General features: G+C 53.7%; 1 protein-coding gene across 14 annotated transcripts in view; it reads left to right on the forward strand.

The window, feature by feature from the left end:
- Nucleotides 1–22,939, forward strand: part of POLD1 (DNA polymerase delta 1, catalytic subunit) — a 33,696-nt gene that overhangs the window by 5,248 nt on the left and 5,509 nt on the right. For 4 of the 14 annotated variants that reach the window (NR_046402.2, XM_047438947.1, NM_001438212.1 and 1 more), the window contains 16 exons: nucleotides 9,281–9,483; nucleotides 9,801–9,914; nucleotides 12,208–12,354; nucleotides 12,429–12,554; nucleotides 12,635–12,803; nucleotides 12,884–12,965; nucleotides 13,042–13,171; nucleotides 13,483–13,649; nucleotides 13,923–14,027; nucleotides 16,612–16,752; nucleotides 16,837–16,947; nucleotides 17,413–17,604; nucleotides 17,757–17,845; nucleotides 19,215–19,331; nucleotides 19,552–19,665; nucleotides 19,949–20,096. Coding sequence is in view for 12 of the 14 variants with exons in the window: in XM_047438947.1 (XP_047294903.1) it covers nucleotides 9,282–9,483; nucleotides 9,801–9,914; nucleotides 12,208–12,354; nucleotides 12,429–12,554; nucleotides 12,635–12,803; nucleotides 12,884–12,965; nucleotides 13,042–13,171; nucleotides 13,483–13,649; nucleotides 13,923–14,027; nucleotides 16,612–16,752; nucleotides 16,837–16,947; nucleotides 17,413–17,604; nucleotides 17,757–17,845; nucleotides 19,215–19,331; nucleotides 19,552–19,665; nucleotides 19,949–20,096 (2,154 nt within the window). In the remaining 2 variants the exon portion in view is untranslated. Of the gene's footprint in view, nucleotides 1–5,453; nucleotides 5,581–9,277; nucleotides 9,484–9,800; nucleotides 9,915–12,207; nucleotides 12,355–12,428; nucleotides 12,555–12,634; nucleotides 12,804–12,883; nucleotides 12,966–13,041; nucleotides 13,172–13,482; nucleotides 13,650–13,922; nucleotides 14,028–16,611; nucleotides 16,753–16,836; nucleotides 16,948–17,412; nucleotides 17,605–17,756; nucleotides 17,846–19,136; nucleotides 19,332–19,551; nucleotides 19,666–19,948; nucleotides 20,097–20,370; nucleotides 20,455–22,939 lie in introns of those variants that run through there. The other 10 variants (XM_047438949.1, XM_047438948.1, NM_001438211.1 and 7 more) reach the window with 8 other exon arrangements.

Below are 22,939 nucleotides of genomic sequence, written 5' to 3' on the forward strand. Positions count from 1 at the left end.
GCTATAAATAATTTCTTATTTTTTTTTTTTTTCCAAGACTGAGTCTTGCTCTATCGCCCAGGCTGGAGTGCAGTGGCACTATCTCGGCTCACTGCAACCTCTGCCTCCTGGGTTCAAGCCATTCTCTTGCCTCAGCCTCCCGAATAGCTGGAATTACAGGCATGCACCACCACGCCCGGCTAATTTTTTTGTATTTTTTGTAGAGACGGGGTTTCATTTTGGCCAGGCTGGTCTCGAACCCCTGACCTCAGGTGATCCGCCCGCCTTGGGCTCCCAAAGTGCTAGGATTACAGGCGTGAGCCACCATGTCCAGCCTGTTTTTTTTTTTGTTTTTTGTTTTGTTTTTTTTTTCTTTTTTGAAACAGAGCCTCATTGTCACCCAGGCTGGAGTGCAGTGGTGCGATCTTGGCTCACTGCAACCTCCACCTCCCAGGTTCAATCAATTCTCCTGCCTCAGCCTCCCGAGTAGCTAGGATTACAGGCGCCTGGCACCACGCCCAGCTAATTTTTATATTTTTAGTAGAGACAGGGTTTCACCATGTTGGCCAGGCTGGTCTCAAACTCTTGACCTCAGGTAATCCACCCACCTCAGCCTCTCATAGTGTTGGGATTACAGGTGTGAGCCACTGCGCCTGGCCAATAATTTCTTTTTTTCTTTTCTTTTCTTTTTTTTTTTTCAAGTTACATGAAGTAAATTTATTATTTACAGCTAGGCAACAAGGGAAAACCGAAGCATAGGATTCATTGTGAGCCAATCTCCCGAGACTCAGGAAGGTTGCCCCGGGAGGATGGAGTCTCATTTGTGTGTACCCCATTTGTACCTGGAAAGCAGACCATCTTGGGTTTTATATTCTGGAGGCAACATGACATGTTGGGCTAAAATGATGAAGGACATCCTGTTTCTAGGAGGGACTGGAACAGAGCCTGGGCTGTTTCAGCCAGTCCCTCCTTATCTCAGGATATTGCATTCCTAGCACATTCTACAGTTATTCTTGAGAACTATTTTTTTTTTTTTTTTAGTATTTATTGATCATTCTTGGGTGTTTCTTGGAGAGGGGGATTTGGCAGGGTCATAGGACAATAGTGGAGGGAAGGTCAGCAGATAAACAAGTGAACAAAAGTCTCTGGTTTTCCTAGGCAGAGGGCCCTGCGGCCTTCCGCAGTGTTTGTGTCCCTGGGTACTTGAGATTAGGGAGTGGTGATGACTCTTAAGGAGCATGCTGCCTTCAAGCATCTGTTTAACAAAGCACATCTTGCACCGCCCTTAATCCATTTAACCCTGAGTGGACACAGCACATGTTTCAGAGAGCACGGGGTTGGGGGTAAGGCCGTAGATTAACAGCATCCCAAGGCAGAATTTTTCTTAGTACAGAACAAAATGGAGTCTCCTATGTCTACTTCTTTCTACACAGACACAGCAACAATCTGATCTCTCTTTCCTTTCCCATTTCCCCCTTTTCTATTCGACAAAACCGCCATCGTCATCATGGCCCGTTCTCAATGAGCTGCTGGGTACACCTCCCAGACGGGGTGGCGGCCAGGCAGAGGCGCTCCTCACATCCCAGACGGGGCGTCGGGGCAGAGGCGCTCCCCACATCTCAGACGATGAGCAGCCGGGCAGAGACGCTCCTCACTTCCTAGACGGGATGGCGGCTGGGAAGAGGCGCTCCTCACTTCCCAGACTGGGCGGCCAGGCAGAGATGCTCCTCACTTCCCAGACGGGGTGGCGGCCGGGCAGAGGCTGCAATCTCGGCACTTTGGGAGGCCAAGGCAGGCGGCTGGGAGGTGGAGGTTGTAGCGAGCCGAGATCACGCCACTGCACTCCAGCCTGGGCACCATTGAGCACTGAGTGAGCGAGACTCCGTCTGCAATCCCGGCACCTCGGGAGGCCCAGGCGGGCAGATCACTCGCGGTCAGGAGCTGGAGACCAGCCCGGCCAACACGGCGAAACCCCGTCTCCACCAAAAAATACAAAAACCAGTCAGGCATGGCGGTGCGTGCCTGCAATCCCAGGCACTCAGCAGGCTGAGGCAGGAGAATCAGGCAGGGAGGTTGCCGTGAGCCGAGATGGCGGCAGCACAGTCCAGCCTCAGCTCGGCATCAGAGGGAGACTGAGAGGGGGGAGGGGGAGGGGGAGGGAGAGGGAGAGGTCTTTTTTTTTCCCACTCCCCCGCTCTTGTTGCCCGGGCTGGAGTGCAATGGCGCAATCTTGGCTCACTGCAACCTCCGCCTCCCAGGTTCAAGCGATTCTCCTGCCTCAGCCTCCCAAGTAGCTGGGATTATAGGCGCCCGCCACCATGACAAGCTAATTTTTGTATTTTTTTTAGTATAGACGGGGTTTTCACCACGTTGGCCAGGCTGGTCTTAATCTCCTGACCTCAGGTGATCGGCCTGCCTCAGCCTCCCAAAGTGCTAGGATTACAGGCGTGAGCCACTGCACCTGGCCCATCATTTTACTTTTTTAATCCAAGTTCTAACCTAGGATAACACACATTGTCATGGCAACTTTTTCATTTTTTAAGACATGTCTTGCTCTCTTGCCCAGACTGTATTGCAGTGGTGCAGTCATGGCTCACTGCAGCCTTCACCTCCCAGGTTCAAGTGATCCTCCCACCTCAGTCTCCCAAGTAGCTGGGACTGTAGGTATGCACCACCATGCTTAAGTAATTTTTAATTTTTTGTAGAGATTGACTAATTTTTAATTTTTTGTAGAAATGGAGTCTCACCATGTTGCCTAGGCTAGTTTCTAACTCCTGGCCTCAAGTGATCATCCCACCTCAGCCTCCCAAAGTGTTGGGATTACAGACGTGAGCCTCCTAGCCCAGGCAACTTACTTTTTCATGACATCGACAGTTTTAAAGATTACAGACCAGTGTTGTCACCCCTCACCTTGGATTCGTTTGTTTCTTTTTCTTGTTTTGTTTTGAGACAGAGTCTTGCTCTGTCACCCAGGCTGGAGTGCAGTGGCGTGATCGCAGCTCACTGCAACCTCTGCCTCCCAGGTTCAAGTGATTCTCCTGCCTCAGCCTCCCAAGTAGCTGGTATTACAGGCACCCACCACCACGCCTGGCTAATTTTTGTATTTTAGTAGAGATGGGGTTTCACCATGTTGGTCAGGCTGGTCTGGAACTCTTGACCTCAAGTGATCCACCCTCCTTGGCCTCCCAAAATGCTGGGATTACAGGCGTGAGCCACTGCACCCAGGCTGTTTGTTTCTTAATGACTAGAATCAGGGTAAACGTTTTCTTAGACATTGTTTTTCAACACAAAAGATAAAATTGTGAGTGCACCACTGTGCATCTTGCTTTATCTACTGAACAATGCCTCTTTGAGAACCTTCCCTATCAGTACACAAAGAGCTTCCTCATTCCTTTACACAGTTGCATAGTATTCCATTGAACGGACTTAACATATTTAAATAGCCCCCTGGGGGAGGACAGTTAGGTGGTTTCCAGTCCTTGGGGATTTCAAACGATGCTTCCGGAAATAACCTTATAAATGCAGTTTTTCTTATGTGATAATATATCTACAGTGTACGTCCCTAGATGTGGAATTGAGCCTCCAAACTTTTATGTTTATAATTGAGGTGGCATTTACATGGCGTGCCATGCCCAGGTCTCCAGTGTACAGTCAGCTGTATAGTGTGTTTTATCACCCCAGAAACCCCCTCATACCCTTCCCAGTCTCTCCTACCCTAGGAGCAGCCACTAGTCTGATTTCTAGCGCTGTAGATCACTTTAGTGTATTCTACAACTTTGTCTAAATGGTATTGTACAATTTTTATGGAGGTAAAATTAGCCATTTTAAAGCAAACAATGGCTGGGCGTGGTGGTTCATACCTGTAATCCCAGCACTTTGGGGAGGCCAAGGCAGGCAGATCACTTGAGCCCAGGGGTTTCAGACCAGCCTCAGCAACATGGCAAAACCCGTCTTTACCAAAAAACAATTGGCTAGGCATGGTGGCACGCATCTGTCTTCATAACTACTCAGGAGGCCAAGGTGGGAGGATCACCTGAGCCCGGGAGGTCAAGGCTGCAGTGAGCTGAGATCATGCCACTGCACTCTAGCCTGGGCAACAGAGTGAGATCCTGTCTCAATAAAGAGAGAAAGTAATAATAAAGCAAAGAATTCAGTTGGTACGTTCACAGTGTTGTACAACCATTACCTCTGTCTAGTTTCAAAACATTTCATCACCCCTACAGAAAACCCCATACTCCGTAAGCAGTCACTCCTCATTCCCCCAGTGTGCACTTTGCCTTCTGCACAGCCTGCTTTCAAGATTCATCCGTGTTGCATGTCTGTCAGGAGCTGGCCCCTCTCTAATGCTGAGTGTCTGTTATGAACCTCCCTGAACATTTCTAACATATACTCCATCAGTTCAGAATTTTTCCATGCTTATTTCAGGTCTAAGCTGTTGTACCAAGGAGCCCCCAAAACACAGTGGCCCAAGAAAGATACAAATTGATTTCTCCACATAACGCTTTGGAAGATAGGCAAGTGTGCAGGGTTGGCAGACAGCTTTGCTCTGGAAGGTTGTTGGGGAGCCCAGTGTTGTCCCTGTCCTTGTGGTTGGCTCTCCCACTACATCCATGTTCCAGCCACTGTGACGGGGAAGAGGGTGGGAGGATGTCCCAGTAGCTGCACACCTCATGATCACTCTCATTCCTGGAGGGAGAACTTAGTCACGTGGCCCTCCTGGCAGCGCACACTGGGAAATGTAGCCTTTGGCTGGGCAGCCTGTGGCCACTCCGGACACGCAGGGTTGGAGGGGTGTGTTCTATTGCAAAAAAGCAAAGCAAAGCCGGGCGCGGTGGCTCACACCCATAATCCCAGCACTTTGGGAGGCCGAGGCGGGCGGATCATCTGAGGTCAGGAGTTCCACACCAGCCTGGCCAACATGGTGAAACCCCATCTCTACTAAAAATACAAAAAAAAATTAGCGGGTATGATGGTGGACGCCTGTAATCCCAGCTACTCGGGAGGCTGAGGCAGGAGAATCGCTTGAAGCCAGGAGGCGAAGGTTGCAGTGAGCCGAGATCAGCCACTGCATTCCAGCCTGTGTGACCGAGTGAGACTCCGTCTAAAAAAAAAATAAGTAAAATAAAAAGGCAAAATGAGGACTGGATATGGGGCAACCGTTATGAGATCCAGGGATAGACAGCTGACCTGCTCACCTGCCTCTTCCCAGCCGCATCTAGGATCTGCCCTAGGTTCCAGTAATCCCCTCTGTCTCAGCCTGGACCCTGGGGGACAAGTACTTTGTTTTTGTTTGTTTGTTTTTTGAGACAGAATTTCACCCTTGTTGCCCAGGCTGGAGTGCAATGGCGCAGTCTTGGCTCACTGCAACCTCTACCTCCCAGGTTCAAGGGATTCTCCTGCCTCAGCCTCCCAAGTAGCTGGGGTTCCAGGTGTGCGCCACCATGCCCAGCTAATTTTTTTTTTTTTTTTTTTTAGTAGAGACAGGGTTTCACCATGTTGATAAGGCTGGTCTCAAACAACTGACCTCAAGTGATCCACCCGCCTCGGCCTCTCAAAGTGCTGGGATTATAGGTGCGAGCCACGGTGCCCAGCTGGGTACAGGTACTTTTTAAAAACTTCTTTCTCTGACAATTTCAAATTAACAGGAAGGTTGAAAGAATAAATAGTGTAGGCCGGGCGCGGTGGCTGGGTACAGGTACTTTTTAAAAACTTCTTTCTCTGACAATTTCAAATTAACAGGAAGGTTGAAAGAATAAATAGTGTAGGCCGGGCGCGGTGGCTCACACCTATAATCCCAGCACTTCGGGAGGCCGAGGCGGGCGGATCACGAGGTCAGGAGATTGAGACCACAGTGAAACCCCGTCTCTACTAAAAATACAAAAAAATTAGGCGGGCGCAGTGGCGGACGCCTGTAGTCCCAGCTACTCAGGAGGCTGAGGCGGGAGAATGGCGTGAACCCGGGAGGCGGAGCTTGCAGTGAGCCGAGATCGCGCCACCGCACTCCAGCCTGGGAGACAGAGCGAGACTCCGTCTCCAAAAAAAAAAAAAAATAGTGTAAAGAACACCTGCACGCCCTTTGCCCAGATCACCTGTTTCAACATTCTGTCCTATTTATGATTTGCATGGATGTTTCTTATCTCCCTTCTCTCTGTATACGTACACTCACTTTTTACAAAGAATTCCCAATACCTTGCAGACATTATGGCCGTTTACTCCTAAATACTTGAGTGTGTATCTCCTTAGAATATTCTTATTGAACCACAATAAAGTCACCCACTTAAGTTTAACCTGCATATAACCTTGTCTAATCAACCAGAGGATATATACTTTTTTTTTTTTTTTTTTTTTTTTTGAGACAGGGTATTGCCATCTTGTCCAGTCCAGTCTTAAACTCCTGGGCTCAAGCGATCCTCCCACCTTGGCCTCCCAAAGTGCTGAGATTACAGGCATAAGCCACTATGCCCAGTGAACTTTTTTGTTGTGGTTGTTTTTTTGTTTGTTTGTTTGGGTTTTAATTGTTGTTGTTGGTGGTGGTTTTTTTTTGTTTTTTTTTTTGAGACAGAATATTGCTGTGTTGCCCAGGCTAAAGTGCAGTGGCGCGATCTCGGCTCACTGCAACCTCCACCTCTCGGGTTCAAGTGATTCTCCTGCCTCGGCCTCCCGAGTAGCCATAATTACAGGTGTGTACCGCCACACCCAGCTAATTTTTTTGTATTTTTATTAAAGATAGGGTTTCACCATGTTGACCAGGCTGGTCTCGAACTCCTGACCTCAAGTGATCCACCCGCCTCAGCTTCCCAAAGTGCTGGGATTACAGCGTGGGCCACCGTGCCTAACTCTAGTCAACTTTTATATTGTATATCTTGTACATTGTATATCTTGTCAAGGATATTGTATATCTTGTCAAAATACACCCCCAAAATAATAATATATATATATATTTTTTGAGATGGAGTCTCGCTCTGTTGCCCAGGCTGGAGTGCAGTGGTGCAATCTCAGCTCACTGCATGCTCTGCCTCCTGGGTTCACACCATTCTCCTGCCTCAGCCTCATGAGTAGCTGGGACTACAGGCGCCCACCACCATGCCCGGCTAATTTTTTTGTATTTTTTTAGTAGAGACGGGGTTTCACCATGTTAGCCAGGATGGTCTCGATCTCCTGACCTCATGATTCACCTGCCTCCTAAAGTGCTGGGATTACAGGTGTGAGCCACTGCTCCCAGCCTCCAAAATAATCTTTTATAGGTTGTAATTAAGAAAACACAGGCCAGGCTTGGTGGCTTACGCCTGTAATCCCAGCACTTTGGGAGGCCGAGGCAGGTGGATCACCTGAGGTCAGGAGTTCAAGACCAGGATGGCCAACATGGCGAAACCCTGTCTCTACTAAAATACAAAAATTAGCCAGGCATGGTGGTGGGCACCTGTGATCCCAGCTACTCAGGAGGCTGAGGCAGGAGAATCTCTTGAATCTGGGAGGCGGAGGTTGCAGCCAAGATCGCACCACTGCACTCCAGCCTGGGTGACAGAGCGAGACTCCATCTCAAAAAAAAAAAAAAAAAGAAAACACAGGCCAGGCTTGGTGGCTCACGCCTGAAATCTCAGCACTTTGGGAGGCCAAGGCAGGTGGATCACTTGAGGTCAGGAGTTCAAGACCAGCCTGGCCAACATGGTGAAACCCCGTCTCTACTAAAAATACAAAAATTAGCTGGGCATGGTGGCGCGTGCTTGTAATCCCAGCTACTTGGGAGGCTGAGGCAGAAGAATTGCTTGAACTGGGTCCCGGGAAGCGGAAGTTGCAGTGAATCGAGATTGTGCCACTGTACTCCAGCCTGGGCAACAAGAGTGAGATTCTGTCTTTTTTTTTTTTTTTTTCTGAGACGGAGTCTTGCTCTGTGGCCCAGGATGGAGTACAATGGCACGATCTCGGCTCACTGCAACCTCCGCCTCCCAGGTTCAAGCAATTCTCCTGTCTCAGCCTCCTGAGTAGCTGGGATTACAGGCGCCTGCTACCTCACCTGGCTAATTTTTGTATTTTTAGTGGAGATGGGGTTTCACCATGTTGGTCAGGCTGGTCTCGAACTCCTGACCTCGTGATCCGCCCACCTTGGCCTCCCAAAGTGCTGGGATTACAGGCGTGAGCCATCACACCCGGCCCTGATTATGTCTTTAAAAGAAAGAAAAAGAAAACACAAATATATATAAGTAGCAGTCTGTATGTGTTTTGTGTTGTGTTTTGTTTGCTACTGTGGGTCCTGGACTCGGGGAGAAAGCAGGTTACTATAAACGGCATTTTGGAGACAGTTGGAGAAATTGGGAAAGGTGCCCTTTATTTTATATCAACCTTGAGTCAGTGTTAAATGTCCTAGATTGTATCGTACTGTGCTCGGTGAAAGGAATTCCTTATTGTTAGGCACTACGTGCTAACATGTGGAGGGGTATGGGATCTGCAAGGAACTCTCAAATTACTCAGGAAAAGAAGTAACAATATGATGTGCATACCGCACATGTGGGAGGGCAGAGAGAGGCGGTGAGAGAGCACACACACGACACGCTGACCACCGGGGAGCCTGGGGAAGGGCATACAGGAGTTCTAGGCATTTGAGATTATTTCAAAGTATTTAGGTTGGTGCAAAAGTAATTGCAGTTTTTGTCATTTCAATGGCAGATGGCCTGGGCAGATGGGTGGTTGGTAGGCGAGGTATCGGAGACAGAGGTTTATGGAAAATAAAGAGATGTGCCAAGGCCGGGCGCGGAGACTCAGGCCTGTAATCTCAGCACTTTGGGAGGCTGAGGCGAGTGGATCACCTGAGGTCAGGAGTTCGAGACCAGCCTGGCCAACATGGCAAAACCCCGTCTCTACTCAAAACACAAAAATTAGCTGGGTGTGGTGGTGGGCGCCTGTAATCCCAGCTACTCGGGAGGCTGAGGGGAGAATCGCTTGAACCTGGGAGGTAGAGCTTGCAGTGAGCCGAGATCATGCCATTGCACTCCAGCCTGGGTGACAAGAGCACAATTCCATCTCAAAAAAAAAAAAAAAAAAAAAAGCAAGAGATGTGCTAAGGACCTAGTGTGATGGGAGAGAGGGTCGGGGAGTCGACGGGGCTGCTGCTGCAGTAGCTAACAATTGAGCGTCTGGAATGTGCTCCCACCCCACTGCCTGCAGGGTGCAGAGAGCTATGTTAGTACAGCCAGTCCAGAGTAGGAAAAGGCTCGTGGTCATGGTGGGTGCATGGGATGCCATGGAGACAGGGTAAGAGGTGTCTCCGGTCAGAACCTCCACCAAGCTCCAACTTGCCCAGCAGGATGGATGGCAAGCGGCGGCCAGGCCCAGGGCCCGGGGTGCCCCCAAAGCGGGCCCGTGGGGGCCTCTGGGATGATGATGATGCACCTCGGCCATCCCAATTCGAGGAGGACCTGGCACTGATGGAGGAGATGGAGGCAGAACACAGGCTGCAGGAGCAGGAGGAGGAGGAGCTGCAGTCAGTCCTGGAGGGGGTTGCAGACGGTAAGGCTTGGAGTTGGAGGTTCCTGCTGCCCAACCCATTGCCCCTGGTCTTGCCTTTGGTCCAAGAGTCAGCTGCAAAGCTGACCTGTGACCCCACTCTGGCCAATTTTGAATCCTACAAAGGACTGCCCTTCCACCCCGTGCAGCCTGTGTGGCCTACAGTGATTCTGGCCCTGACCCTTGACCCTCATTCTCTTCCAAGTTTCCTGCCTGACCCAGACCACCACCTCTGCCTGGCTCCTTTCAGAACCACATGCCATCCTGGCCGGGGAAGACCATGACTCCATGTACTCCACTTCCTTCCCTTCCCCCACCAGGGCAGGTCCCACCATCAGCCATAGATCCTCGCTGGCTTCGGCCCACACCACCAGCGCTGGACCCCCAGACAGAGCCCCTCATCTTCCAACAGTTGGAGATTGACCATTATGTGGGTGAGTTTAGGGGTTATGGGTGAGTGCTGGGGCCCTGCGCTCCTGGGGCAGAGGCCGGGCCAGGTCAGCCCCTCTGGCCCTGTGCTCCTGGGGCAGAGGCCGGGCCAGGTCAGCCCCTCTGGCTCTGCCCCTCTGGTTGCCATAGAGCTGTAGTGACAGAACAGACCAGTGGGTGCCAGGGGTTGTGGAGTGCGAAGCGAAGGTGACACAGGGTCAGCTTGAGGGAGGTGCTTGGAGCGTTGATCTGTTTTGCATACGTAGTAGCTGCAGCCTGTGCAAGGACCTCTGTGCCTTAAAATTCATAACACCAGACACATAAACCAAAAGTCAATTTGACTTCTTTTTTTTGAGATGGAGTCTTGCCCTGTTGCCCAGGCTGGAGTGCAGTGGTGTGATCTCGGCTCACTGCAACCTCTGCCTCCCGGGTTCAAGTGATTCTCCTGCCTCAGCCTCCCAAGTAGCTGGGATTACAGGTGCACACCACCATGCCTGGCTAATTTTTGTATTTTTAGTAGAGATGGGCTTTTGCCAAGTTGGCTAGGCTGGTCTTGAACTCCTGACCTCAAGTGATCCACCCGCCTTGGCCTCCCAAAGTGCTTAGATTACAGGTGTGAGCCATTGTGCCAGCCCAATTTGACTTTTTAAAAGATTTTTTTTTTTTTTTTTTTTTTTTTTTTGAGACAAGATTTTCCTCTGTTGCCCAGGCTGGAGTGCACCTGGCCAATAATTTTTTTTTTTTTTTTTTTTTTTTTTAAGATGGAGTCTTGCTCCTGTCGCCCAGGCTGGAGTGCAGTGGCACACTCTTGGCTCACTATAACCTCCGCCTCCTGGGTTCAAGTGATCCTTCTTCCTCAGCCTCCCAAGTAGCTGGGATTACAGGCGCCCGCCATCACGCCCGGCTAATTTTTATATTTTTAGTAGAGACAGGGTTTCGCCATGTTGGCCAGGCTGGTTTCAAACTCCTAACCTCAGGTGATCTGCCGACCTTGGCCTCCCAAAGTGCTGGGATTACAGGAGTGAGTAACTGTGCCCCGCCTATTTTTTTTTTTTTTTTTTTTTTTTTTTTGAGACAGAGTCTCCCTCTGTCACCCAGGCTGGAGAGCAGTGGCACAATCATGGTTCACTGTAACCTCAACCTCCAGGGCTCAAGTGATCCTCCCACCTCAGCCTCGGAGTAGCTAGGACTACAGGTGTGCACCACAATGTCTGGCTAACTTTTTTTTTTTTTTTGAGACGGAGTCTTGCTCTGTCACCTAGGCTGGAGTGCAGTGGCGCGATCTCGGCTCACTGCAAGCTCTGCCTCCCAGGTTCACGCCATTCTCCTGCCTCAGCCTCCCGAGTTGCTGGGACTACAGGCACCCGCCCCAACTCCTGGCTAATTTTTTGTATTTTTAGTAGAGATGGGGTTTCACCGTTTTAGCCAGGATGGTCTTGATCTCCTGACCTCGTGATCCGCCCGCCTCAGCCTCCCAAAGTGCTGAGATTACAGGCTTGAGCCACCGCGCCCGGCCTGGCTAACTTTTAAAAATATACTTTTGGGCCCGGCATGGTGGCTCACTTTTGGAGGCTGAGGCAGGCTGATCACTTGAGGACAGGAGTTCAAGACCAGCCTGGCCAACATGGTGAAACCCCGTCTCTACTAAAAATTCAAAAAATTAGCCAGGTGTGGTGGCATGGGCCTGTAATCTCAGCTGTTCAGGTGGCTGAGGCACAAGAATCCTTTCAACCTGGGAGGTGGTTGAAATATAAATATAAGATATATATATATGATATATTCTTTATGTATTAATTTATGTATAACATATATTATATATTAATATATTTTGTAGAGACAAATATATTTATTTGTACATATAATATGTGTGTGTATTTGTGTATATGTGTATATATATATATATATATATATATTTTTTTTTTTTTTTTTTTTTTTTCTTTTTTTTGAGACTGGGTCTCGCTCTTTTGCCCAGGCTGGTCTCAAAGTCCTGGGCTCTAGCGATCCTCCCGCCTTGGCCTCACAAAGCACTGGAATCACAGGTGTGAGTCACTGTGCACGGCCAGTTGTTTTTATCTTGTAATAAAAAAGAAGGGCCTCCCTGTAGTTGTGCTGTGGAGAATGGATCCTGGGGGATGAGGCTGGAGATGGGAACCAGGGGGGAGGCTGAAATGGACACAGGGAACGGTACAGGGGCAGGAGTGCCCCAGGCTGCAGGCCCCAAGGTATTTCGAGGCTGTGGAGACACACCTTGGAGGACCCTGAGAGGCATGGCCGCTGTCTTACCCTGTGACCCCACAGGCCCAGCGCAGCCTGTGCCTGGGGGGCCCCCACCATCCCGCGGCTCCGTGCCTGTGCTCCGCGCCTTCGGGGTCACCGATGAGGGGTTCTCTGTCTGCTGCCACATCCACGGCTTCGCTCCCTACTTCTACACCCCAGCGCCCCCTGGTGAGTGGCCCCTACCCAGCCCCTCCCTGAGCCACTGGAGCCCCCTGCACCTCTGATCATCCCTCCCACACCAGGTTTCGGGCCCGAGCACATGGGTGACCTGCAACGGGAGCTGAACTTGGCCATCAGCCGGGACAGTCGCGGGGGGAGGGAGCTGACTGGGCCGGCCGTGCTGGCTGTGGAACTGTGCTCCCGAGAGAGTGAGTGCTCCCCCAGGATCAGCGGGTTGGAGGGTCCCCTCGGGAGGCCATTGGCTGGTCCCAGCTTCTTCCATCCACAGGCATGTTTGGGTACCACGGGCACGGCCCCTCCCCGTTCCTGCGCATCACCGTGGCGCTGCCGCGCCTCGTGGCCCCGGCCCGCCGTCTCCTGGAACAGGGCATCCGTGTGGCAGGCCTGGGCACGCCCAGCTTCGCGCCCTACGAGGCCAACGTCGACTTTGAGATCCGGTACGGCCTCTGCCTCACTTCTCCGGCCTCTATCCCCACCCTCGGGCAGCCCCTGTCCACTGACCCCCAGCCCCCTCCAGGTTCATGGTGGACACGGACATCGTCGGCTGCAACTGGCTGGAGCTCCCAGCTGGGAAATACGCCCTGAGGCTGAAGGAGAAGGTGCAGGGCTTCCCAGGGCAGGGCTGGGTGGGGAGCTGGTACCCTGCTGCCACCGCTGACCCACCCATGCCCACAGGCTACGCAGTGCCAGCTGGAGGCGGACGTGCTGTGGTCTGACGTGGTCAGTCACCCACCGGAAGGGCCATGGCAGCGCATTGCGCCCTTGCGCGTGCTCAGCTTCGATATCGAGTGCGCCGGCCGCAAAGGTCTGTCCCCGGGCCCGGGCTCCTGCCCGCCTCATTGATGTGCCAAGTCGGGGGTCGGAAAGGCAGGTCCGGTGGAGGGAATGGCAAGCATGAAGGTGCCGGGGCAGGAGCACCCCAGCCCATGTGGCCAGATGGAGTGAGCACAGAGGGTGTGGAGATGGCCTGGAGGTGAGAGCAGAGCAGGAGCCAGGGTGAGCCACGTAGGGCCGGCAGGCAGCGGGGACAGCCCCGGGGAGATGGCAGGTGCAGCCTCCCTGCTGTGTTGGGAGTGAGGGGCAGGAGTCAGGCCCCTGCATCCTCCTGCCTCGCAGGCATCTTCCCTGAGCCTGAGCGGGACCCTGTCATCCAGATCTGCTCGCTGGGCCTGCGCTGGGGGGAGCCGGAGCCCTTCCTACGCCTGGCGCTCACCCTGCGGCCCTGTGCCCCCATCCTGGGTGCCAAGGTGCAGAGCTACGAGAAGGAGGAGGACCTGCTGCAGGTAGCTCTCGCTCCACGCCCCACACCATTTCCCGGGGTCCCCGCCAGCCTCCGCGTCCTGAGCCATCAGCTCCTGGGTGCTGCGACGCCCATGTCTGTGGGTCTGGGTGGGTGTCTGTGGGTCTGGGTGGGCCCCTGTGCAATTAGGCTTGAGCACTTCCCCTCTGGGTTCTGCAGGATTTTCAGGGGTGGCTGGGGTTCTAGAACATTCTGGAAGTAGGGGAATCCGAGGCAGGGCAACCACCAGGGTGACCCAATGTGCTCCCACCCCCAGGCCTGGTCCACCTTCATCCGTATCATGGACCCCGACGTGATCACCGGTTACAACATCCAGAACTTCGACCTTCCGTACCTCATCTCTCGGGCCCAGACCCTCAAGGTGAGGGCTGGGCAGGTGGGAGGCTTCTCTCAGATGCCCCAGGTGTGGCCTCCGGGCCCTGGGCCTCCTTCCCACTCCCTCTCCACATGGCTTGGTGCATCTTGCTCTGTGTGCCTCAGCCGATTGCCTGCAGGGGCAGCCTAGGCCTGGTCCTGCCCTGCTCCAAGTCGAAAAAGTTACTGTGGCTTTTATCAGAGGCAAGGAGGGCGTTACGGTGGAGTAAGAGAAGGCTGTGCATTCAAGGTCGGCCTGAAGCTTGCAGGGGTTCAACAAGCCATGAAGCAGCCACTGAATCCCAGTCTTCCTTTAGGTTATATCAGCATAAGGAAAAGAATCATAATGGAGGAGGAGGGGGGAGTGTGTTGACTGATGGGGCAAATTCCGGATGCTTCTTGAGTCTGCATGTGTGTAAGGGTGGATTCCTCTGCCCGAGTTGCTGTAACAAAGAGCCACAGACCAGGTGGCTGAAAACAGCAAAAAGTCATTGTCTCACCGTCCTGAAGGCTGGAAAGTCCATGACCAAAGTGTCAGCGGGCCTGCTTCCTTCGGGGGCTGCAAGGGAGGACTGGTTCACGGCCTCTCTCCTTGGCTTGCAGACGGCCATCATCCCCCTGTGCCTCTTCACACCGTCTTCTCTCTGTGCGTGTCTGTTTCCACATGTCCTCCCTTTTTTTTTTTTTTCCAAGACAAAGTCTCGCTCTGTCGCCCAGGCTGGAGTGCAGTGGCGCAATCTTGGCTCACTGCAAACTCCGCCTCCCAGGTTCATGCCATTCTCCTGCCTCAGCCTCCCAAGTAGCTGGGACTACAGGCGCCCGCCACCACGCCTGGCTAATTTTTTGTGTTTTTAGTAGAGACGGGGTTTCACTGTGTTAGCGAGGATGGTCTTGATCTCCTGACCTTGTGATCCGTCTGCCTCGGCCTCCCAAAGTGTTGGGATTATAGGCGTGAGCTACTGCACCCAACCCCTTTTCTCTTTCTTTTTTTTTTTTTTTTTTTTTTGAGACAGAGTCTCGCTGTGTCGCCCAGGCTGGAGTGCGATGGCACGATCGAGGCTCACTGCAACCTCCACCTCCCAGGTTCAAGCGATTCTCCTGCCTCAGCCTCCCAAGTAGCTGGGATTACAGGCGTGAGCCACCACGCCCCGCAAATTTTTGCTTTTTTGTTATTGTTTCTTGAGATGGAATTTCGCTCTTGTTGCCCAGGCTGGAGTGCAATGGCACGATCTTGGCTCACCACAACCTCCGCCTCCCAGGGGGCGCTGGGGTGTAGAAGTGATTCTCCTGCCTCAGCCTCCCAAGTAGCTGGGATTATAGGCACCCGCTTCCATGCCCGACTAATTTTGTATTTTTAGTAGACAGGGTTTCTCCATGTTGGCCAGGCTGGTCTCGAACTCCCAATCTCAGGTGATCTGCCCACTTCGGCCTCCCAAAGTGCTGGGATTACAGGCGTGAGCCACCGCGCCTGGCCTATTTTTGTTTTTGTTTTTGTTTTTTTTAGCAGAGACTAGGTTTCATCATGTTGGCCAGGCTGGTCTCCATCCTCACCTCAGGTGATCTGCCCACCTCAGCCTCTCAAAGTGCTGGGATTACAGGTGTGAGCCAGTGCACCTAGCCCACATGTCCTCTTTGTGTAGTGACACCGTCGTGAGGTGAGGGCCCACCCCAGTGACCTCATCTTCACTTGACCCCCTGCGAAGACATATTTCCAAATGAGGTTACATTCTGAGGTGCCGGGGGTTAGGGCTTCAACATCTTTTGGGAGAACATGGTTCAGCCCTTAATGAGATATATTGCCTTATTTTCCTGCTTTTCTCTATGTCTGGCCAGCTTGGTAATGGAAAAACAAAACAGGCTGGGTGTGGTGGCTCACGCCTCTAATCCCAGCACTTTGGGAGGATGAGGCGAGAGGATCGATGGAGCCCAGGAGTTCAAGACCAGCCAGGGCAACATAGCAAGACCCTGCCTCTATTAAAGAGAAAACAAGAAAAAATCCATTCTAAAATACAGAACAAACTCTTAGGACCCCCAGTGTATATTCCACAGCGTGGCGCTGATGCCCGGGCCATGGTACTCCTCCTCCCCTTCCCTGGGTGTCCCTCACCCTCTGCCCTGTCCCCAGCTCAGGCTTCTTCTGGCCTCAGTCTCCCCCAGGCTGGGCCCCAGCACCCTGCAAGGCCTCCTGCAGCCAGGCGCCCTCCAGCGCCCTCAGCATCCATCTCAGCCCAGCTCCACGCCGCCTCCTGCCTCTGCCCCCACCTGGCCGCCTGCTCACAGTGTCCCCAAATCTCTTCCTGTTTCCTGCCTAGGTACAGCCCGCAGACACTGGGCTCCATCCTTGGCCCCCAGTCCATCAGGGCCCCTGACTCTCGCTATCCCAGCCTTGGCTGCAGCTTAGTCCTTACTCCGGACTCCCTCCCCAGTCTCCAGCCACCCACACCCAGCCCCAGACCGTCTTTCTGCCCCCAGGGTTGCTCTCGACCCCCTAGGGTTGTTATAAGGATGTTGTGGTTGGTCTCAATCTCCGTTCTTCAGGCTTATGTGACGGGGACCCGCAGCCTGCTGCACACCCTGCCTCTCCTCCTCAGGTACAAACATTCCCTTTCCTGGGCCGTGTGGCCGGCCTTTGCTCCAACATCCGGGACTCTTCATTCCAGTCCAAGCAGACGGGCCGGCGGGACACCAAGGTTGTCAGCATGGTGGGCCGCGTGCAGATGGACATGCTGCAGGTATGGGCGGGAGGTGGGGTGTGTCCCTGTCCTTGGAAGGCCACTGCCCAGGCCCGCAGCCCACCAGCCCACCCACCCACCTAGGTGCTGCTGCGGGAGTACAAGCTCCGCTCCTACACGCTCAATGCCGTGAGCTTCCACTTCCTGGGCGAGCAGAAGGAGGACGTGCAGCACAGCATCATCACCGACCTGCAGGTGCCTGCTGCCTCCCTGACCTCTCACCCCAACCTCTGACCTCCACCTCACCCTTCCCCGGCCTCTGACCTCAACTTCACGCCCCCACGTCTGACCTCACTCTTTGACCTGCTGTTATGACCTGTGACCTTACCTGACGCCCACTTTTTCCTGACCTCTGACCCCAGATTTCTCTCCACTCCTGTGACCTCTGTCACTATGACCTTGTCTCTGCTTTCCTGGCCTGACCACAGGTCCACGGTGGCCTTCAGGCTGCTCCCTCCTCCTCCCTCTGGCCCTGTGGACTCCCTGGCCCCCAACCCTACCTCCATCCCCACCCAGACCCTGACGACTTGGAGGGCCCTCCTGCCCGCCTCACCTCCCAGGCCCTCCCCAGGCTACCTCACCCTGACCCCCACTTCCTTCTCCTGCTCCACCTCCCACCCCCAACCCCTGGTCCCTGACCCCATCCGTGCCCATCCCCAGAATGGGAACGACCAGACCCGCCGCCGCCTGGCTGTGTACTGCCTGAAGGATGCCTACCTGCCACTGCGGCTGCTGGAGCGGCTCATGGTGCTGGTGAACGCCGTGGAGATGGCGAGGGTCACTGGCGTGCCCCTCAGCTACCTGCTCAGTCGTGGCCAGCAGGTCAAGGTCGTATCCCAGCTGTTGCGGCAGGTCAGTAGCCGAGACTTGTCCTCGCCACCCCCCACCAGGCACGTCTGTGGCCCCCTCCAGGCAATGGCATCCTGGATGCACTTTTTCTCCCCACTCCCAATCCGCACGGCCCCACCTATACCCACTCCATTTCCCACCTTCTCCCCTCCCAGGCCATGCACGAGGGGCTGCTGATGCCCGTGGTGAAGTCAGAGGGCGGCGAGGACTACACGGGAGCCACTGTCATCGAGCCCCTCAAAGGGTGAGGCCCCAGGCTGGGTGCAGTTTTTACCTGTAATCTCTGGGAGGCTGAGGTGGGAGGATCACTTGAGCTCAGGAGTTTGAGACCAGCCAGGGCAACATAGCGAGGCCCCTGCTCCACAAAATTTTTTTATTTTTATTTATTTTTATTTTTATTTTTTTGAGACAGAGTCTCGCTCTGTCACCCAGGCTGGAGTGCAGTGGCGCAATCTCAGCTCACTGCAAGCTTTGCCTCCCGGGTTCACGCCATTCTCCTACCTCAGTCTCCACAGCAGCTGGGACTACAGGCGCCCACCACCACGCCTGGCTAATTTTTTTTTTTTTTTTTTTTTTTGCATTTTTAGTAGGGACGGGGTTTCACCGTGTTAGCCAGGATGGTCTCGATCTGACCTCGTGATCCACCTGCCTCGGCCTCCCAAAGTGCTGGGATTATAGGCGTGAGCCACCGTGCCCGGCCGAAAAAATTTTTAAAAATTAGCCAGGCGTGGTGGTGCATGCCTGTAATCCCAGCTACTTGGGAGGCTGAGCTGGGAGGATGATGAGCCCAGGAGGTGGAGGCTGCAGTGAGCGATGATTGCGCCACTGCCCTCCAGCCTGGGCGACAGAGCAACACCCCGGCCCTAAAATAAATTAATAGGCCAGGCACGGTGGCTCACCCCTGTAATCAATCCCAGCACTTTGGGAGGTCAAGGCAGGCGGATCACAAGTTCAGGAGATTGGGACCATCCTGGCTAACACGGTGAAACCCCGTCTCTACTAAAAATACAGAAATTAGCTGGGCATGGTGGCGGGCGCCTGCAGTGCCAGCTACTCGGGAGGCTGAGGCAGAAGAATCGCTTGAACCCGGGAGGTGGAGGTTGCAGTGAGCTGAGATTGCGCCACTGCACTCCAGCCTGGGTGACAAAGCGAGACTCCGTCTCAAAAAAAATAAAATAAAATAAAATAGTAGATTAATTATATATATTATTTTTCTTTTTCTTTTTCTTTTTTTGACACAGGGTCTCACTCTGTCACCCAGGGTGGAGTGCGGTGGCATGATCTTGGCTTACTCCACCTCCTAGGCTCAAGCAATCCTCCTGCCTCAGGCCCCTGAGTAGCTGGGACCACAGGCGTGCACCACCACACCTGGCTAATTTTTAAAATTTTTTTGTAGAGATAGGGTTTTGCCATGTTGCCCAGGCTGATCTGAAACTCCTGAGTTCAAGCGATCCTCCTGCCTCAGCCTCCCAATGTGCTGGGATTGCAGGAGCGAGCACTGCTCCCAGCCAATGAATGATTTTTTTTTTTTAAAGGGTGAGGCCACAAGACAGGGCGGGGGCGGCATGGGAACTCCTAGCCCTGACTCCCGGCCGCGGCTGCTCCCCTCCCAGGTACTACGACGTCCCCATCGCCACCCTGGACTTCTCCTCGCTGTACCCGTCCATCATGATGGCCCACAACCTGTGTTACACCACGCTCCTTCGGCCCGGGACTGCACAGAAACTGGGGTATAGTGCCCAATTCAGCATGTGTCCCCCGAGGCCCATCTGGGCCTTCCCTTGGGGGGCTCAGTCTGGTGGGGGGCATAGGCACAGGCCCAGAGATAGTAGGGAGTGGAGGGGTGCTTGAGGGGCCTGCGTGTGCTCATGGCCAAGGCCAGGACCGTAGGGCAGAGGTGGGCTGGAGCAGGAGGGTGGCCGGCAGTCACCCCAACATCTTCCAACCCAGCCTGACTGAGGATCAGTTCATCAGGACCCCCACCGGGGACGAGTTTGTGAAGACCTCAGTGCGGAAGGGGCTGCTGCCCCAGATCCTGGAGAACCTGCTCAGTGCCCGGAAGAGGTGAGCCCTGGAGATCGCCTGCTTGGAGCTCAGACCTGTTGGGGCCTCTGGGCAATCCCTGTCCCTCACTGGGACACCCCAGGGCTGCCCAGCCACCCTGCCCTCAGCTGTGCGTGAATTAGCACAAGGCATCCCCTCCTGGCAGCTTCCTTTTGCCCCCTTGGCCAGAAGCTTCTGTGCAGTGCACAGTACGCCCAACCGTACATGGCACTCACTTCCAGAAAGGAGCCCTGACCAATGCCCAGGTGCCGCCTGAGTGTGCTTTCCCCGTGTTCCCTCGCAGGGCCAAGGCCGAGCTGGCCAAGGAGACAGACCCCCTCCGGCGCCAGGTCCTGGATGGACGGCAGCTGGCGCTGAAGGTGAGCGCCAACTCCGTATACGGCTTCACTGGCGCCCAGGTGGGCAAGTTGCCGTGCCTGGAGATCTCACAGGTGGGCACTCGGGCCCCTGGAAGGCAACTGGGGGCAGGTGGGCCCCCTGTGTAGGAGACCAGGGCTCCATGTGGGGGACCTGTATCCAGAGGACTGGGCACCCCAACTCACTGGCCTTCTAGAGAGAGGATGCCAATGTGGCTTGAGCAATTGGTCCATTCCTTCACTCAGCAAATGCCTACTGAGCACACACTGTGGTCAGGGCTCACTCTGTGCCCTGGGGATACAGAGGGGAACAAAATGGATGAGAGCTCCTGTCCCTGTCATCTTGCAGCCCAGTGGGGACACTGACAGGTCTGTGTAAACGTGTTTAGGACACAAGTGGCGCTACGAGCTTTGCAGCCGGATAAAGCAGGAGGTGCGGACTGTCGGGGAGTGATGGGGCTGGGCGGGACTCACCCCTCTCAATAGGCGACGCTCACACAGAGGCCAAGGGACGTGGGGAGGGAAGCCATTCACCGTCCCCACGGCAGCGTCCCGGTCTGCCTACCCACGGCAGCTCTGCTGCTTGAACAGAAAAACAGATTCTTTGAAACCACAGAGGGCCTGAGTTTCCGAGATTGCCAAGCTGGGGTCAGTGCCCCAGCTCCTGGCATATGAGGGCCTCGGAAGGGTCTTCCTGTCCAGCCTTCTCCCCTGGGACTTGAGTCTTGGCCCATTCCAGGCCAGTAGTTGTGCTGCTCTGCTTGGTTACCTCTAGCCACGGGGAGCTCCCTCTCTGGCTGGGCACTGCGCCACTTTTCACAGGGCTCTGGGTGGAAGGCTTGGATGAATTCTCAGTGGGTGGGGCCTTTGCACACACCCACCCACCCGCAGTTCTGGGGGTCCCAAAGACCACTTAGGTTCAGTGATTCACTAGAAGTACTCAGAGAGCAGAAAAGCTGGTTCTCATGGTTATGATTTAATACAGCAAAAGGACACAGATTAAACTCAGCAAAAGAAAGAGGTGCACAGGGCAGGGTATAGGAGGGACCAGGCGTGTCTTCCAGTTGTGCTCTCCCAGTAGAGTTGCCAGGCTGGCCCTCCTTCCTCCCAGTTTTGATGCGTGCCTGCACACATGCAGCATTGCCAACCAGAGGCTCTCACCCAAGCTTTGGGGTCCAGGGTTTTTCTTGGGTGTCAGTCCTATAGGCATGGAGCACCCTGTGACTGGCCTTAGTGACTCCATCATCCCCAGGCCCCTCAGCAACCCCCAGAGGTCAAACTGATACTGCATGGCCCAGGGCCCTACCATAAACCATGTTAGTGTCAACTACCTGGTGTGGTTCAAAGTCCCAGGTACACAAACACCTTTTTTTTTTTTTTTTTTGAGACAGAGTCTCACTCTCTCACCCAGGCTGGAGCGCAGTGGCACAATCGTGGCTCACTGCAGCCTCAACCTCCGGGACTCAGGTGAGCCTCCCACGTTAGCCTCCCAAGTGGCTGGGACTGCGGGCACGTGCCACCTATTTTTGTTATTTTTTGTAGAGATAGGGTCTCGCCATGTTGCCCAGGCTGGAACAGAGACACTGTTATCAGGCGGGATATTCTAGGGGCTTAGACTACCAGGAGCCAGGCAAGAGCCAGACCTTTCTTTGCACAAAGTGAATCGCTCACTGCATGCTCCCAACTCCCCTCTGCCTTTCACAGTCCCCGGCTGCCTCCCCAGCCTCCTTGGTGGAAAGGGGTGGCTGTGTGGACATCAGGCTCTAGCCCTGAAGCAGAGGCCAGGCCAAGAGAGCACAGCTTGGCCCTCCCCTGGGGCTGCCTCTTACCAATCCTGTGTCTCTGTCTTTTCTCTCTCAGCCGCTTCCCTCTGTCACTGTTCTGTTTCTGTCTCTTGACCTCTTTCCTTATTTCTGTCTCTCAAGCTTATGGGAGCAAGAGGTGGAATAATAAAAATGCAATGAATTGGCTGGGCGCGGTGGCTCACGCCTGTAACCCCAGCACTTTAGGAGGCCGAGGCGGGCGGATCACGAGGTCAGGAGTTCAAGACCAGCCTGGCCAACATGGTGAAACCCTGTCTCTATTAAAAATACAAAACATTAGCCAGGAGTGGTGGCAGGTGCCTCTAATCCCAGCTACTCGGGAGGCTGAGGCAGGAGAATCGCTTGAACCCAGGAGGCAGAGGTTGCAGTGAGCCGAGATTGCGCCAGTGCGCTCCAGCCTGGGCAACAGAGCAAAACTCCGTCTCAAAAAAAAAAAAAAGTAATGAATTACAGTGTTCACGCCTGTAATCCCAACACTTTGTGACACTGAGGAGGGAGGATCACTTGAGGCCAGGGGTTTAAGACCAGCCTGGGCAACATAGTGAAACCCCATCTCTACAAAAAATACAACCAAACAAAACTAGCCAGGCATTGTGGTAGCTCATGCCTGTAGTTGCAGCTACTCAGGAGGCTGAGACGGGAAGATGGCTTGAACCCAGCAGTTTGAGTTACAGTAAGCTGTGATGGCATCACTGCACTCCATTCTGGGTGACAGAGTTGAGACCCTGTCTCTTTTAGTTTTTGTTTGTTTGTTTTGAGATGGAGTCTTGCTCTGTCACCCAGGCTGGAGTGCAATGCCACAATCTTGGCTCACTGCGACCTCTCCCTCCCGGGTTCAAGTGATTCTCCTGCCTCAGCCTCCTGAGTAGCTGGGATTACAGGCACCCGCCACCATGCCTGGCTAATTTTTGCATTTTTAGTAGAGACGGGGTTTCACCATGTTGGCCAGGCTGGTCTTGAACTCCTGACCTCAGGTGATCCACCTGCCTCGGCCTCCCAAAGTGCTGGGATTACTGGTGTGAGTCACCACGCTTGGCCTCCTGTCTCTTAAAAAAAAAAAAAAATTGAATCATTTCAGGAAAAGATTACAAAGGA

Source organism: Homo sapiens, chromosome 19 (genome assembly GCF_000001405.40).
Source record: "Homo sapiens chromosome 19, GRCh38.p14 Primary Assembly".
Lineage (NCBI taxonomy): Eukaryota > Metazoa > Chordata > Mammalia > Primates > Hominidae > Homo > Homo sapiens.